We start from the raw sequence: 18,547 nt of genomic DNA on the forward strand, positions 1-18,547 counted from the left end.
TTTTAGCCATCGCGGGATGCATGGAACATGAAGCAGCTGGGATGCAGGGAACCATGTCCCAAGGCTGCATAGAGCAGTGGGGGCCCCTGGGCCCAGCCCAAAAAAACATTTTTCTCTCCTAATCTTCTGGGCCTGTGATGGGAGGGGCTGCCACAAAGATCTCTGACATGCCCTGAGGGCATTTTCTCCATTGTCTTGCTGATTAACATTTGGCTCCTCATTACTTATGCAAATTTCTGCAGGCTGCTTGAATTTCTCCCCAGAAAATGGATTTATCTTTTCTTTCACACAGTCAGGCTGCCAATTTTCCAAACTTGTATGCTCTACTTGCTCTTGAACACTTTGCTGCTTAGAAATTTCTTGTGCCAGATACCCTAAATCATGTCTCTCAAGTTCAAAGTTCCACAGGTCTCTGGGGCAGAGACAAAATGCTGCCAGTCTCTTTGCTAAAGCATAACAACATTAAAGCATAGCAAGAGTTACTTTTACTCCAGTTTCCAACAAATTCCCCATCTCCATCTGAGACCACCTCAGCCTGGACTTCATTGTCCATGTCACTGTAAGCATCTTGGTCAAAGACATTTAACAAGTCTCTAGGAAGTTCCAAACTTTTCCACATTTTCTTATCTTCTTCTGAGCCCTCCAAACTCTTCACACCTCTGCCTGTTACCCAATTCCAAAGTCGCTTCCGCATTTTTGGGTATCTTTATAGCAGCATCCCACTCCTGCTAACAATTTACTGTATTAGCCCATTTTCACAGTGTTATGAAGAAATATCCAAGACTGGGTAATTTACAAAGAAAGGAGGTTTAATTGGCTCACAATTCCACATGGCTGGGGAGGCCTTAGGAAAGTTAGAATCACTGTGGAAGGCACCTCTTCAAAGGGTAGCAGGAGAGAGAATGGGTACCAGCAGGGGAAATCCCAGACACTTATAAAACCATCAGCTCTCGTGAGAACTCACTATCATGAGAACAGCATGGCAGAAACAGCCCCCATGATTCAGTTACCTCCCACCAGGTTTCTCCCACGACACATGGGGGTTATGAGATTACAATTCAATACAAGATTTGGATGGAGACATAAAGCCAAACCGTATTAGAGAGGAAAAGTAATAGGGTGAGGAGGGCTGAACAATGATGTTGAGGACTTGAGCAGAAATATCAATCAGAGGGTAATTTCAGAGGCAAGCGTGACTGGCAAATTCATAAGAATGGATCTCTATGTGGAAGATAGACTTCCTAATATAGCTGCAAGAATATCTCTTCCCTCATTTGCTCTACAGCAACTCTATCAATCTTCTATGACTGAAGTGGAGCAAGTTCCAGCATAGCCGCTATGTAGCCTAACAATGTCTGTTTCCTGTCTCTTGAAAGCATTTTCAGTGAGGGGTGGTATGGGGGGACAGAAGTCAAGACCAAGAGGAAGATGCCAATTTATAAATATACAATTAGCTGATTTCTTTATTGAGTAAAAAGAATACCTTGAATGCAGGCAAGTAAACAGCCAGTGCCTATGAGATGTAGTGGATTTTCAGCTGTATTTATATGGAATTAAAGCTTTATCATTGTTGGACATTATCCTACTTTTAGTAAATAGGCAGCAGACACTCAATTTGCATCAGTAGTTATGTTGATTTTACTCTGATGTCCTGTTTTCCTTAATTCTTTATCAGGCTTACTTTGATGTGTTCTTCACAATTCTGTATCAGTATTGCCAAAGATTTCCCCTGGCAGTATATGTAGCACCTGTAATTCATCACTTCCTTCAGCAGTCCTGAGTAGGGTAATATTAAGTTCAGTTTCCCCACAGAAAACAATCACTACATAAGAAGTGCAACTACCTTGAGATCACCTTGCTATGTGAAGCTCAAGCATTGTGAAGAGGCCCTGGGAGGTGTGACTTTGTGGATAGAGAGGTCAAAGAGCATAAAGGGACTGGATATTTGAGTGAAGAAACCATCTTGGAAGAAGATTTTTCATCCCCAGCTGCTCAGTGGACTCCATGTTGGTCAGAGATGAACCGTCAATGCTTCCTCAATTTTTGGCCTAAAATATTATAAGCCAATACGATGGTTCTCTTAAGCCACTTAATTTTGGAATAGGTTGTTACTTTCTAAGGGACTACCAGAAGAGTTTAGTATTTTATGTTTTTTATGTGATGTTTTATATGTGGGCTCTATTGTACAAAGTGTTGAGTCCGACCTGCAACATAAACTTATATGAAAAGTGTTATGGAAACATCATTCAAAAGAACTATACTCTACATTTGAATTGGTCATGGACTGACTGAAACAAAAAAGTCTCTAGATGGTGACAAACAAGTAGAGAGGAAGAAATCAACAAGATAACGAAATTAAAGTTAGGTAAATCCCTGTAAGTGTGCTAGGCTTAGGAGAGGGCATTGAAACCCATCTTATTTAAGTTGCAAAGATAAGAGTGACCTGAGGTGGCAGCTGAGTAACAGTTGAAATTCCCAAAGCTGTAAGTTTCAGATCACTATTAATTAGAATAAGAGACAAAATTTCACACTGACTATTTTAAAAAATGATCCCTTGACTTAATACAATTCAAATGCCTTGTATCTGCAGGTCCTAGGAAAGTATGTGGCATAAAGTTTGCAGTCAATAAATGTTGACTGTGTGATTGAATAAGGCAAGTGGCAAGTTGAATGGTCACCAACTAGTGAAATATAATTAAGGTCCTTTCCATCTATCTCTACATTCTGGTAAGGTAATAAACACCAAAGATATAATTGCCTTATGGTGGAAGAAGCTGGTCCAAGTTGAGACTCCAGTTATAACTTGTTAGAAGAATCGCTGGGAATTCTCCTTCCATGCTGTGCCTTTTGTCTCCATTACTGCCCTTTTATTTAGCACTTTTATTCATGCATGGATGTTTATTTTAGTGATTTTCTAATTAACATTTCTATGTTCATTGTCTTGTGCCTCAAATCCTTCCTTCTTTCTGTCCCTTTCACCTTGTATCCACAAGCTGTGCTGAAGGGCCCTTGTTTTAAACTCTCAAGGCACTCGATACTCACTTTTATCTTAAGGCTGAATTACCCATTTGTAACACTTGGAGAGTAGGTACTATACCTCATTTATTTCGGATATCCAGAGCCTAAAATGCTACCAGGCAAGTAGCATTTGTTAGAAATAAATTATTAAACTATATAGCTCAAAAATTTCACTTCTACACTTGTCAAGCCATTGTTATAACAGGTTTTATTTCCTCAAAATAACTTTTAAGGTGTATTTCCTATTTATATGCATAAATACTTAGGTTAGTGGTGACTCCTCAAGTCCTTAATTTCTATCAGCACTTTTTCAGGACTCTTTGCTAAGGTTACAAGATGTATGAGAAGGGATACTATTTGAGAGAAATAAAAAAACACTGAAAAGACAAGTACAAGGCTCTAAACACACATTTCCTACTTTAAATTATTTGGAGTTGAAAGATGTATGTGGAAAACCCTCTATTGCATGGTTAGGCATCAAGTATTAAATAATTTCATTTACAAAATTATTCTTGTTTAAATATTAGGTCAATAATATAACCAAAGGATGAGTTACTAAGTCAGTCAGTCCGCCTGGCCTCTTTCATAAATATTTAAATGATCTGTTATGGTGCCCCTCCTCTTTAGAATAGCAGCACCTCAGGGAATGAGTCATGTCTGTTTCATCTTTGAAACTTCTACGAAGCACAGTGCCTGGCACATGAGAGATGCTCAGTAAATGTTCAAGTAAATAAAACCTGAATACTGTCTTAGTCTGTTAATGTCACTATAACAAAATACCTAAGACAGTAATTTATAATAAACAGGTATTTATTTTTTTTCACAGTTCTAGAGGCTGGGAAGTACAAGATCAAGGTGTCAGCAGGTCAGTTTTCTGGTGAGGGCTGCTCTTTGCTTCCAAGGTGGCCCCTCATTGCTGCGTCTTCCAGAGTGGAGGAAGGCTGTGTCTTCACATGACAGATGCAGTAAAAAGGAGCCAAACTCCCTCTGTCAAGCCCTTTTAAAATGGCACTACTTCGCTGATTTGGTGGAGCCCTCAGGACTTAACATCTCCCAAAAGGCCCTAACTCACAGTACTGTTGCATTGGGGTTAAGTTTCCAACACATAAATTTTTAAGGATACATTCAGACCATGGTAGATGCCAAATCACTGATTGTGCTGAAGTGCTGATGATTTTGAAATGGCAGTATGGAAAGGAAAGGAATCACTAGGTCTACAAATGAGATATGGAGGAAGTTGGGGGTAAGCCTATGCACAGGTAGAGACACTAAAATACAAAAAAGTACACACCTGCCATTCACTTTTATTTTGATGTTTCAATTGCTCTAAATTTTCTAAATTTATCATATGTTCACAATATGGACATTGGGTTAGAATCTTTTTTTTTTTTTTTTTTTTTTTTTGCTGTGATAAAAATCTTCTGCTTCAACATGCGCTTCAAAAGGCACTATTTTCTGAATGATTACTGCTGTGTGAGTCCAGAAGAGTGATAAGTGAAAATCCATGCCAATGATTAAGAAGGAGTTGGCTTTACTGGGAGCATGAACCTTAATTGTCATATTGTTTTCTTTCCCTTTTTTTGAAACTTTATTTTTGTATCTATCTTTTTGGTTTTGGTTCATGGCTATGGGGTGTATATACTCTTAAATTTCTCTCTGAACTGTCAATTAATTTCAACTTGTTATGCATTTCTACTTAGTTTAACAAGCGTAAGCTTTTTGGTTGCTTGAACTGAAATTGCTGACCCATTATCATACATTTTACTGCATACATGTTTAAAGTACTTAAATATATTTTTAAATTAAGAGATATGACCTAGTTACTTAGAGTCACGAAACACATTTAACAAATATATTTAACGTATGGATGTAAAATGAATACCTGCATTAATCACCAAGGTTAAGAAACAGTATAGTGACAATACCCCAGAGACCAACGTTTCTACCCTGGGCATTTTTTCTCAATATAGCTCCCTTTCACTTCCCTCTTAAACTTCTACACGCCTTTGCTTTCTAATGGTAGTAGCAAATTAACACAAACATAGCAATTTGAAACAATGTAAGTGTATTATCTTGCAGTTTCCATGGTTCAAGAGTCTGAACATACATTAGTTTTGTCTTTCGTTTGTGGTCTCCTAAGTCTGAAAGCAAAGCATTGGCTAAACTGCATTTCTTTTCTGGATCTCAGGTTTCCCTTTCAAGTTTATGTGGTTGGTAGCAGAATCCAATTCCTTGAAGTTGTGGGACAGAGAGGCACCTATTTTATTGAGTATTTGTTATTATAAGTCACTTTTCTCTTGCTGCTTTTAAATTTTTTTCTTTGACTTTAGCTTTGACAGTTCGGTTATCATGTGTCTAGATTTGAATCTCTTTGTGTTTATCCCATTTGAAATTTGTTGAGCTTCTTAGATGTACAGGTTAATGTGTTTTTTAAGTTTGGAAATTTTTTGATAATCATTTCTCCAAATAGTCTTTTGCCCATTTCTCTCTCGTCTACTTCTGAGAATCATACTGTATATATAAATTTATGAGTTGGCATGCTTGATTGTGTTCCATAGGTCTCTGAGACTCTGTTAACTTCATCTTTTTTCTTTTTGTTCCCAGACTAAATGATCTCAATTGGCTAATCTTTCAGTTATCTGGTAATTTATTCTGCCAGCTCAAATCTGCTGTTGAACCTCTCTAGTGGATTTTTCATTACAGCTATTGTATTCTTCAATCCAGGTTTTTGTTTGATTATTTTCTATAATTTCTACCTCTTTATTGATATTCTTTATTTGGTGAGACATCATTTCCATTTGATCTTTTTTTTAGATATGTCTTTCTTTAGTTCTTTGAACATATTTAAAATAGCTAATTTAGAAATTTTTGTCTAGTAAGTCGAAAGTCTTGGCTTCTTCAGGGACAGGATCTACTGTGCAAAGAGCATACTCTTTTTGTTTTTGCATGTCTCATTTTTTGTTATTGAAAACTGGACATTTTAAGTAATATAACATAGCAACCCTAAAAATAATTCAGTCCTCCTTAGGGCTTGATGTTGTCACTGTTTGTTTTTGGTTTTGGCGCTGCTGTTACTGTGCTCATTATTATTGTTGCTGTTGCATTTATTTGTTTGGTTACGGTCCTGAACTAATGTTGCAAAGTCTTTATTCTTTACTATATATTGCCCATGAAGCCTCTGCTTTGCTAGCCTACTGGTCAGTTAATGACTGGACAGATATTTCCTTAAATGCCTGGAACCAGTAAGTCTCTCAACTATTGCTGAGATGCTCTGTGTGCATGTTGGGGCACACCTTCAATGCTCAGGCAGGTAGTTCATAATTCTGCCTTAGCCCTTACTTCCTGCATTTGTAAATACTGTCAGAAGTAAGAGCCATTGCCTTTATGGTTCTGGACATGAACACAGGTCGTGCACACAGGTGCAATGTTAAATAATTTGACAAATATTTTCATCTGAAAGGCTGTTCACACTGAATGAAAAATAAAGAGATACAAAAAAGACAGTTTATGGGAGTCAGGGTTTCTAGCAAACTTTTAGACAGGTCGAATAATGACAATTCTCTAAATGCTGCTATTGGGGAGGTTCAAATGTGTTCTGCCCATCTAGTGATTGTTAAAGTACTGGTTATCACCATGACTGTGGGGCTGCTAGTATTTAAAACACCTGTGGAATTAGGGAATAAGGTATTGGAATAGGGTAAATTAAAATGCCAGACCGCTTTCTATTCTTACCAGGACTCAGCCACTTTTCTGGAATAAATGCTGTCTAGCTTGTTACAAGTCTTTGGTTAGTTTCTAGAGTTTTGAAAAAGTTGATTTTGGTAATTTTTGCATGCATTCTCATTGCTTTAATGGAGGAGCACATATTTGGATTTCCTTATTCTACCATTCCTACTGATGTCCCTGTCATGTGTCTTGATGAAAAAAAAAGATTTTCATTTTAATATATTCTACTTTATCAATTTTTCCTCCGTAATTTTGATAAATCTTTTCCTACTATGTGATCATACCCTAATACATATCATAGAATATTATTTTTTAACATACTCTTGGGTTTAAACTAGTAACACTTGGTAATTTGACATGTCAACTCATATTAGAAGCCATTGTAGCATTATTATCAAATTGATTGCTATCAGATGGTAAACAATCTTACCAGAAGTTATGTACCAAATCAATCTTTTGAAAATTGTATTTCTTCTCTTCACCTCCAGTTTTAAATCTTGGAATCATGGAGCCAGAGGGTATTTAACGATCACTTAATTACTTGGACCATGTAGGTGGTTTTTCAGTCCTGCTTCTCTAATTAAATGTGGTGCTTTCTTTCTGTGTGTGTGCAGAAATAGAGTTCTAGAATCAGGGGAAGTTGGTATAACCTATTGTACAGTGAGATCCAGAAATGCCCAACAGAAAGACCACACAATACGCTAGAAGACTGGAGGTCTAAGATGCAGAGACAGATTAAATCTGACCAATAAAACATATTAGTAATGTTGCGGGACATGCAACTATAGATGTTTTTTTTTCTTGTCAGGTAGTCTGATAATAAAGTTTTTTCTATAAAAGGATATTGCTTAAGTTGAGTGATGACCTCTCCATATTATTTTATCCTTATATTTCCATAACAATTGATATCCCCCACAATCACATTTCTTAAAGTTTTACCCAATTTAAAATTTTACTAAACTACTCCAGGTAATAACAGGCAACATTTTAAGGGGAACTCTTTGTTCAACCCACATGGGTAAGGAAATAAGAAAACTAGATAAAAAGCTTCTGCATAAAATTTTATCAACCATGTATCACAAAAACCTGAGTCACTAAAAAAGTATCTAAATCCCAGTGGAAATGCCTACTATCCTGTCGATAAGGACAAAACACCATTTTTTATTTTTTATTTTAAGAGCAAATAGCCTCTCAGCAGTTTGATGGGTTTTAAGAACACAAAATACCAGACGCTTCCTGATGGGGGCCACCTGCTCTTTCCTTCCCATAGAAGGGTTCCTAGGCCATCCTCACTTCCATTCTTCTGTTGTTCATTATGTATCTGGTGTATGCATGAATACCAATGGAGATCTTCCGCAGCTGGGACTTCCTGTTTTAATTGTCTGGATCTTTTCCTTTACTAGCTTGGAAGAGTTTTATAAGCTTCTCCCAGGGTGGTCAAATGTAGCTGCTTTTCCTAGCAAAACACAGTCCCCACCGAATGAGGCCCTCCTTTACCAGTTACCTAACCCTGGATGAAAAAATGTGCTGTGTATTAATAATTCTCTTCTTCCTTCACACTCCTTAGCTAGAATCACCTTACAATTTTTGCCTCTTGCCCACTCCATCTTCTCTCTTCTTTGTATAGGTAATTTTCCATTTTACCAAGTCAGGAGTTTTACTTGGTACCTTGTTGATGGCTGTTTTTTAAATTTACGCTATTCCTCAAGGCTCAACTGAAGTATAAGTTATAAAAAGTACACGTGATTTTTAGATCAGACCCTGAGCAAGGCTTAATTATTAAGATGAAGGACAGTGTGTTTTATTTTGTCCTGTGAAAACTATGTAACAAGCCGTGCCTCTTCCTTGGGTATAATTTCTAGGAAGTTAAGGAATATTTTTTCTTCTAAAATAGCTTATTACAAAATTCTAGCACAATTGTCTTTCAATGTATTCTTTTGCCATGATTCTCAACATTTTCTGGGTCATGAAAGTCTTTGAGAATTTAAAGAACTCCCAGAATAATATACATTTGCTACAAATTTTGCATGCAATTCAGGAACTTCTGACATTCTTCCATGGAACCGTGGGTTCTATGTGTTCTCTGATTTTTCTAATTTTAATTTTCTTTCATATAAAAAGGTTATTAGCTTTCTAAATTTACTAAAGGCAGTATTATAAGCTTTCACATTTCTTTGTAACATAGTCATAAATTTTGAATGAGTAGAAAATTTACTTGTTTGAAAATTAAAAAAAAATAAACATTTTGAAGGATGAGCTTCAAAATTACAACTAGATAAATTGCTATGGGCATATACATTGATATAACCACTTTGAAAATCAATTCAACATTGTTTTATAAAGTCAAATTTTCACATTCATTATGACTCAGCAGTTCCACTTTAGAGTATAAATCCAAGAGAAAAAAACAAACTTATACCAAGTTATGTTATATATTTAAATTTAGATAGTTACATCTATATAGCTATAGATATATATAGATATAGCTTTATATATACATATATAAACTACTGATATATAGGTATAGATAGATGATATCTATCTACATACACACAAACATACATGCACAGAGAGAAGGATGTATATACGTATATATCTTTATATATCCCTCTATATATTATGGGTATAGATATACAGATAGATAGGTATAGATATCTATTTATCTGTATGTACACAGACACACACACACACACGCACCCAGAGAGAGAGCACCTACTCTCATTATGTGTTATATTTATGTTCTTTATAGTTGCTGTGAACACAGGATTACTGAGCCATTGCTCCTAAGGGAAATACAAAATTCAGTTTCTGTGAAATGCTGATCATAATATTTTCATTAACTGAGTAATACATAACCTTGTTTTATGTGTACTTTTGTTTAAAGATGCTCATTTAATATATATTTTTGGTTAAGATTGAATAACACTGTAGCTTATGCTTGAATGAAGCTTATTTAACATGTATTTTCTCTGAAAGACACATCACAGCCTTAAGATTAGGACAGCACTGCAGCACCATGTTTGGGGACCATTTTAAAAAGCAAAACCTCCCAGCACTTTGGGAGGCCGAGACAGGTGGCTCATGAGATTAGGAGATCGAGACCATCCTGGCTAACGTGGTGAAACCCCGTCTCTACTAAAAATACAAAATTTATCCAGGCGTAGTGGTGCACATCTGTAGTCCCAGCTACTCGGGAGGCTGAGGCAGGAGAATCGTTTGAACGCGGGAGACGGAGGCTGCAGTGAGCCGAGATTGCACCACTGCACTCCAGCCTGGGAGACAGAGCAAGACTCTACTCTGTCTCAAAAGAAAAAAAAAAAAGAAAAAAAAAAAAGAGGAAAATCACCAACAGAAATAACAAAAAGGTAAAGAAAATGTGGCACAAAATAGAGTGCAAGAAAACCCCACTCGTTTGCAGTATGATAGGTAAAACAAGAGGGCAGAGAATCGCCTTGCTTGACCTCAGCTGGGAATGTGCGACTGGAGGCTCAGTCTTTTTACAGCCTCTTTTTACATGTCTATGAATGGCTGTGAAAACACAATAGGTATCGATTTGGGGCTTGCACACATATTTTAGGAATAAATAAATTTGCAAATATGGAATTCATAAATAACGAGGACCCACTGTGTGTGTGTTTATAAGTATATATTTATATATTTAATGTGTGTGTGTGTTCGTGTATGTTAAAACCTAGCACATAAAGAAGGGGATTATAAACACAGGGGCTATATTCCACACCAGGCAGGACCAACAACGATAATCACTCTGTTACCTATTTCCACAAGAAATGAAATCACTCTAAGATTTTAGAGACTTTAAAATACTTTTTGTCAAAATATTCGAGAGGTCAGATATATAAATCACATTCACACCACACAGTGTTCTATCAGCTTGCATGCCCTTCTTATCTCTTCAACAGTGTCCTCTCTATTTCATCTCCTATTTATTTTTATTTATTTCTATTGTTTATTTTATCTCAGTTTTTTTTAATTCGTCATTTCCATAGGTTTTTTGGGACCAGATGGTGTTTGGTAAGTTCTTCAGTGGTGATTTGTGAGATTTTTGTGCACCCATCACCTGCGCAATATACACTGAACCACTGAATCCAATTTGTAGTCTGTTATCCCTCACCCCCTTCCTACCCTTCCCCCCTGAGTCCTCAAAGTCCATTGTGTCATTCTTATGCCTTTGCATCCTCATAGCTTAGCTCCCACTTACGAGCGAGAACATACGATGTTTGGTTTCCCATTCCTGAGTTACCTCCCTTAGAATAATAGTCTCCAATCCCATCCAGGTTGCTGCTAATGCCGTTAATTCATTCCTTTTATGGCTGAGTAGTATTCCATCACCTATATATCACAGTTTCTTTATCCACTTGTTTATTGATGGGCATTTGGGTTGGTTCCACATTTTTGCAACTGTGAATTGTGCTGCTATAAATAATGCGTGTGCAAGTATCTACTTTGTATAATGACTTCTTTTCCTCTGGATAGATATCCAGTAGTGCCCTTATTTCAGAACAGTAAAATAAGTTTTCCTTTTTTTCTGGGCCAGAACCTTTCTGCCACACTTTATTCTTCTCAGAGTCTCAGAATGTCTAACAGCCTCGGGGCCCATGTGAGCATTTTCTTTTCCCCAAATACAGTAAGTTCTTCTTAAGAAATTATTTATTTTCTGCCTCATTAGAAGTGTGTCATTTAGTATCATATGGAAAAGCTGTTTTTTTACAATCATGATTGCAACCATGACCCATTTATTCTGGAATCCTATCATCCCATATTTCTGAGACTTGTTCATTTCAGGATGTGTATGCTGCATCATGAAAGATTGTATTTACAACAATGTCAGCAGTGTTTGAGCACCTATAATGTTCAAATCTGTATGCTAGTTGTTGATTGGGGTCATGAATTTGAATATGCACAGTCCTGCCCTTGAATGTACCACTGAATGGGGAAAACACACATTAAATTAAATAGTTCCTCTGCAAAGCAGATTATGAACAATGTGAAGGTAGAGGGATGAAGGAACAAAGATGGTGCTGAACCATTAAGTGTGGGAGGCTGCAGATTATGGAGACCCCCCTGGGGGGTTGAGACTTGGAGGGAGATCAGAGCTTTGCTTAAAGATGGCTCTCCTTTATATCTTAGGAATGATGTCTTGGTAATGCTAACTTAGTTTGGGCTTCTTCCTCTTAGTTAGGTTTCCTCCAAAGTGATGCCTGAGACATGACTTGGGTAAAAGTAGTTTATTTAGGAAGTGACCCCAGAAAGCAGGAGAAAGGGAGTAAAGGGAGTGCAATGGGGAAGGAGAAAAAGCAAAATGAGAGAGCGTTATTGAGGTTGCTGCGGCAGGGAACAAGAACTTGATCCTACCTGAATCTTTGAGAAATGTACAGATATGACCTTGAATTGTCCACTCAAAGGACAGGAAGCTGGAAAAGTTATCCTCTGTTTTCAGTTTCACATTAGTTGAATTATGTTCCTGTGATTCTTAACTCCCCTGTATTTCTGGATGCAATTATGGGATGGTCAAATTGGCTCTTGTGACATCAGAAATGGCACTTGGGCAGGAAGCAGAAGAGAGGAGAGTGTATTTGAAGAAGGGTCACCTCCAGGTAAGTATAAGCTTCCATTGTAATGTGCACCAGAGCTGCAGCTACAACCAGGGAAGGCTGAAAGGCTATGGCACAGAGCAGCAAAGATACCTGCTAGAAGTACAAAAGATGTCCAAAGGTGTTCAGGATTGGAAGCAAGGAAGCCAGTTAGAATATGAAAGTAATGAAGGCTTTATCCATTCGATGTCTTTCCAACCTTTTCTGTCTGCCTGGAAGACTTTTCCCTCCTCACTGTTAGCCTAAACTCTACTCTTTTTTCAAAGCCTAATTAATAGGCACAGCCTAGAATAGTTCTTGGAACTCCATACATGTTCAATATTATTTGCTGAATAAACAGCTAGCATATTCATTGTGATTGAAACTTTACACACTCATTGAAGTTAATACCCCCAAAACCTTGATATACATGCATTAGTATCTCAGTTTTCTAGACATATTCATATATTCATTCAACAAAGATTGCTGAATGTCAGACACTGTACTGGTTTATAGAAGCTGGTAAGGAAATCGATCCTCAAGAAAGTTAAATCTTTTGCCAAAGAACTCATAGTCAGTGGAAAGGAAACATACTCAGTGATATTTTCTTGCATTCATCCACCACCATTCTTCTATTCCATAATTCTCACAGTTAACTCTCATCAACTCACAACCATCTCATCAATCTTTAATTCCCATACTGCACTGTGATTTTTTCATTTGTCATGCTATGTGATGCTGTGCATTTTCACCTTTTATGTTTATCTTTGTCTTTTCTCTTCAAATGAGCCCCTTGAGGGCAAAACCTATGGTATCATGCTTTTTCATAGCCTTAGGCCAAGGCAAGACCCTATAGTGCTACCTTCTAATGCATTTTGGTGATTATCTAGATCTTTAATAGTACCCATCAGCACATTTCTCTTCCTATTAAAACATCACAGAAAGAATACAATGTCATTTGATGTGAATGCAGAGCTGGCATCCGAATTAAAACCTTTTATGGTAACATCGGAGCTTTGCTGAAAGTAGAGAAATAATAGCAGTGCAAAAATGCGGACTTATGGACAAATAATCTTTTGCAACATTTTTGGGGGGAGAGTTTCATTTGAATTCAAAATTTGACAGTGGCTGGAAAAGACCGTGTTTAAGGAAAGATATACAAGCTTGGACACATCCAGATACATCCCATCCACCTGTTGTCTGTTACCCCTCACAATGCAACACTCTCTAAAATGCCTCTAGTACATATGTCTAGAACAGTGTGGTCCAACTGAAATGTAAGGTGATCCTATAAATGCAATTCACATAGGTCATTGACATTTTTCTTTTAGCCACAATAAAAAAATAAAAGGATTGGGAGGCAGAGGCGAGTTGATTACCTGAGGTCAGGAGTTCGAGACCAGCCTGACCAAGATAGTGAAACCCTGTCTCTACTAAAAATACACAAAAAAATTAACTGGGCCTGTTGGCGGGCACTTATAATCCTAGCTATTTGGGAGGCTGAGGCAAGAGAATCGCTTGAACCTGGCAGGCGGAGGTTGCAATGAGCTGAGATTGTGCCACTGCACTCCAGCCTGGGCAACAGAGCAAGACTCTGTCTAAAACAAATTAAATTAAATTAAATTAAAATTTAAAAAAATAAGTAAAAGGAAACAGATTAAATTCTTTTTAATAATATATTTTATTTAACCAAATATATTGAAAATATTATTTCAGATTGTAATCAATGTAAAAATTCATAAATAGTTTACATTTTTTATCACACTAAGTCCTCAAAATCTGGTGAGTATTTTACACTTTTGTCATATCTCAATTTGTACTCACTACATTTCAAGGACTCAGTAGCTAGTAGCTAATGGTTACCTTTTGGAGAGCACAGGTTTCTAGGCTGACTTCTACAGCTGGTTTTCCTGGTGTGTGTGTGTGTGTGCAGTGTATGTGTTTCTGACATACGGGTTTTTACAGCAGTTTCCCTATGGTCCCTCATCCTGTTTGATGACAGACTTTCAGAATAGAGCCCATGGACCTTGGCTATCATATGATGTATTCTAACGTACATATAACATTCATGTATTCTATTAATATCATGTATACTTTTCTGCCCAATGTGGGCTCTCGATAAGTGCTACTTTTCTGAAAATTGGGAGTGTGTAGAAAAAAATAGCATCTTCTGCATTAAAAAGCAACTAAAAATAAACATTTAATTTTTAATTAGAAAGATCTCAAAGAAATGGGCACCTGTAAACCTTCTCGGGAAACTTTATTTTTATTAAAATTACGGGCTATTTTGTTTGTGTATTCTGGGTTCTGCCTTTTACAGCTCCTTAGAAAAACAGTGAGTACTTGAAGTCTTGTTATTTTTTTTCTTAATTTCAAAGCCTAAATGGAAAGTATGAGTTGACATGAACTTTTCTGTCCTTTCCACTGTGTAGGGGAGCTGAAGTTGTGTATTGCATAAGACCAGGGCCTTGGAAACAGATAAGCTACAGATTAAATCCCAGATCTTCACTTTACTAGCTGTGTGACTTTGAGCACTTTCACTGATCTCAATAAGCCTTTGATTATTTTGTTATACAAATTTCCTCTTTTGTAAAGCTGAAGTGTTCATGTTTGTTTTTACTCTTAAAAGTATCTTGAATCCAATTATTCTTCTCAAATTCTATCATTAACATCTTAGTCAAGCAACTGTCAACTCTTGTATTAATTACCTGAAAGCATGCTTTTTCCTGTTTCTATGTATCCCCACCTACAAAACAATTTCTCCACAGTAGCCAGAGGTTTTTCATCAAGTGCACATCTGATTTTATGCAGTTTACTAATGACTGCTGAGATGAGCCACTCATTTCTATTGATGATTGGTTTTTGTTTTCGCAGCCAGAAGATGCCAGTGTTCTGTGCTTTAGTTAAACCCCAGTTGGTATTTCTTCACTGACATTTTCCTTTCCTCTTGATTACTATTATCAGTCTCAAGAAAAGCAAGATTGTTTAAAATCTATTTTTAATTCTCCAACTTTGAATAAATTATTCATTATAAAAATCACAAAAACTAGTCAATTTACCCACGAATCATAGAATACCCAGTACTATTCCTTTATCAGTTATTAGATAGATTTCAGGTAGACAATGAGGGCCAATACCATAATTCACTTGCTGCTGAGAATGAACAGTGGTTGCTCGTACACTACCAAGTTTGCCTCTTTGGGTCTCATTCTTTGCCTATTCAGTTTAGCAGCTCCTGCACTGGATACTTTCCATATCCCTCCAAGCCCATCTCTTGTTCTTCTCCCACGAAATTGCAATATTTATGAATGTCTTCCATCAATTCTTCCTTGACTATGTGCTTTTACTCTGATTTATTTTGTTTTACATAACATTGTTTTATGTCCATTTGCCTCATATAAATCCTGATTCAGTTCTTCCATGCATGAAACCATCCTTAAATTAAGCCCGGTGGCTGTTACTCTGCTATCAAGTTCTTGTCACTCATTTCCAAATTCTCATTTTAAACCCTTTGAGTACACTGATAGGGATGTTACAATGCACTGTTCTTAAGTCTTTTCTTGTGCTTACACTGTCTCCCCAAATGAAGGGGGAGGGGGGTGACAGCATAAATGGCAAGAGATTGTCTCTCTTTTTTCCCTTCCATTTCTTTTGTGATGTAAACAATGCCTTGGAGACTGTTCTACTCAGCATACGAACTTATTATTTAGGAAATAGTGAATATATCATAGCCAATATTTTGAGCACCCATTATTTCAGGCACATAAATACATCACCTTCCTTCCTCCCTTCTTTCCTTCTTTTCTTCCTTCCTTCCTTCTTTCCTTCCTCCTTCCCTCCCCTCCTCCTTCCCTCCCCTCCTCCTTCCCTCCCCTCCTCCTTCCCTCCCTTCCTCCTTCCCTCCCTTCCTCCTTCCCTCCCTTCCTCCTTCCCTCCCTCCCTCCTTCCCTCCCTTCCTTCCTTCCTTCCTTTCTTCCTTCCTTCCTTCCCACCTTCTTTCCTTCCTTCTCACTCTGTCACCCAGGATGGAGAGGAGTGGCATCATCATAGCCCACTGTAACCTCAAATGCCTGGGCTCAAGCAATTCTCCTACCTCAGCCTCCTGAAGAGTTGGAACTATAAGCTGTGCCACCATACCTGGCTAATTTTATTTTTTGTGGAGATGGGATCTTGCTAGGTTGCCCAGGTGGGTCTCAAACTTCTGGCCTCAGGTGATCTTCCCACCTCGGCCTCCCAAAGTGCTGGGAAAACAGATGTGAGCCACCACACCAGGCCTCACAGAAATTTTTTTTCTGCATCAGTAGCACACAAAGCTAGTACATTTCTTTTACAAGTTGCATCCTATTCTGTATTATGAATATAATATAAATTTATTAAACAATATTCCTATTGATGATCACTTTGGCTACTTTCAAATTTTCAAGCAATTAACAAAATACTGCTATGAACATACCATGCCTTTGAGGATTTATGCATCTATAATCTGGAAAAAAAAGTTTTTAGATGTGGGATTTATACATTTGCACCTGCAAAATGGCAATATTTATTTAAAACTTCAGTGGTTTCAAAGTGTGCATGCCTTGATAGTTTAGATATACTTCCGCTTCTTCTTGCTGGGACATTAAAAAAGCAATCGTAATAAATAAGACTTGATGACGAGGGCAATCACAGTGCTGGGAATGGTGGTTGAAGAAGATACAGAGGGTAAACTTTATCATCTCAAGATGATGTAAATCGACTATTTGATTAAACCACTGAAAATATATGTTAGATCGTGTGTGTGTGTGTATGATTATATATATATACACACACACACAGTATATTATATATATATAATATGTATATATATATATACATACATACATATATATGTATATATATATGATATATATGATATATATCATATATATATACACACTTTACACACACACACACACACACACACACACACAACTTTACAAAGACCTCACAGCAGTTAAGTGGTGCAGACAGGAGCTAACCCCAGTTTTGAATTTCACCATAGCCCATCCTCTTTGGGTCTTTTTTCAAGGGTTCCAAACTGGTTTAAATTTTGGCTAATTTCTCAGTTGCTGATCAGGTTCTTTATAATAATAGAAAAAAGTATATTTTATAAAATACTGAAGAACCTAGATATTGGGGCTAGACAGTCATTTGGTCCTGGGAGACTTTCATATTTCTGAGCTTTTTGTGACCATTTTGTAATTGTTTTTATCTAGGCTCCCACTAACTTACAATTTCCTTTTCTTTTGTTAATTTATTCCCCCTTTCTCATTCTTTTCTTCTTTCTCTATTTTTCTCTTTATTATCAGCATATTGTCATTGCTGTTACCAACCATATTGTCTTGCTAGTAAGAATTAGATTAAGAAGTATATTTGATGCCTACCTTTTTTTCCATTTTGGCATTGTCCATATAAGTCTCAGCATTTTTAAATGATGTGGTATATTGTATGCTAAATTACATTGCCAGATGATACCTTGGCAATATCTGTAAAACGGATGTATTTACAGAATAAATGTAATAAGCACCATAGAGTAAAATGTAGATTATAGCCGATGTATGTGAGGAAAATAAGTGGATTTACTCTGAATCAAAAGCCCTCCTCCAATATCACAACTTTTAAAAGGGATATTAGAAAATAGAATGTTCCATCTTTGCCTTGCACAGTTAAATAGAATGTACCTTTCAAAATATACCTTGTTGTATAATCTTGTTTACTGAAAATTTACTTATGATCTTCTCACTAATTAGATATATCTTTGTGAAACACCAAAGTGGTCAGCTGACAAGACAAACTTGCCTCTTTATAGGCCCATTGTCTCAAACAATTCTTCTTGTTTTCACCCCAGACAATTTGCCTTCTATCAGTTTTCTTCGTGTTGTAATTGCAAAAGCATGAACTCTGGTTTCAGACAGATCTGAACTTAATCCTGGGTTTGATACTCATTGGATGATCTTAGGCCATTTATTCAACTTCTCTAAGTCTCGGTTTCCAATCAGATAACCCAGGGACATTCTCCTTGTCTGTGTTAGACAGCCAAATCTCGTAATAATTATTAGGAGGATGTAAGCAATGTCTCTGTGTCTATAGAATTTGCTTTTAGACATCTCTTATACAAAAACAGGTCATTGAGCCATGCCTGAAATATGGTCAGATAAGGCCTACACATAACTATGGGTCTATTTTTGCTT

Source organism: Homo sapiens, chromosome 8, assembly GCF_000001405.40.
Source record: "Homo sapiens chromosome 8, GRCh38.p14 Primary Assembly".
NCBI classification, from domain to species: domain Eukaryota; kingdom Metazoa; phylum Chordata; class Mammalia; order Primates; family Hominidae; genus Homo; species Homo sapiens.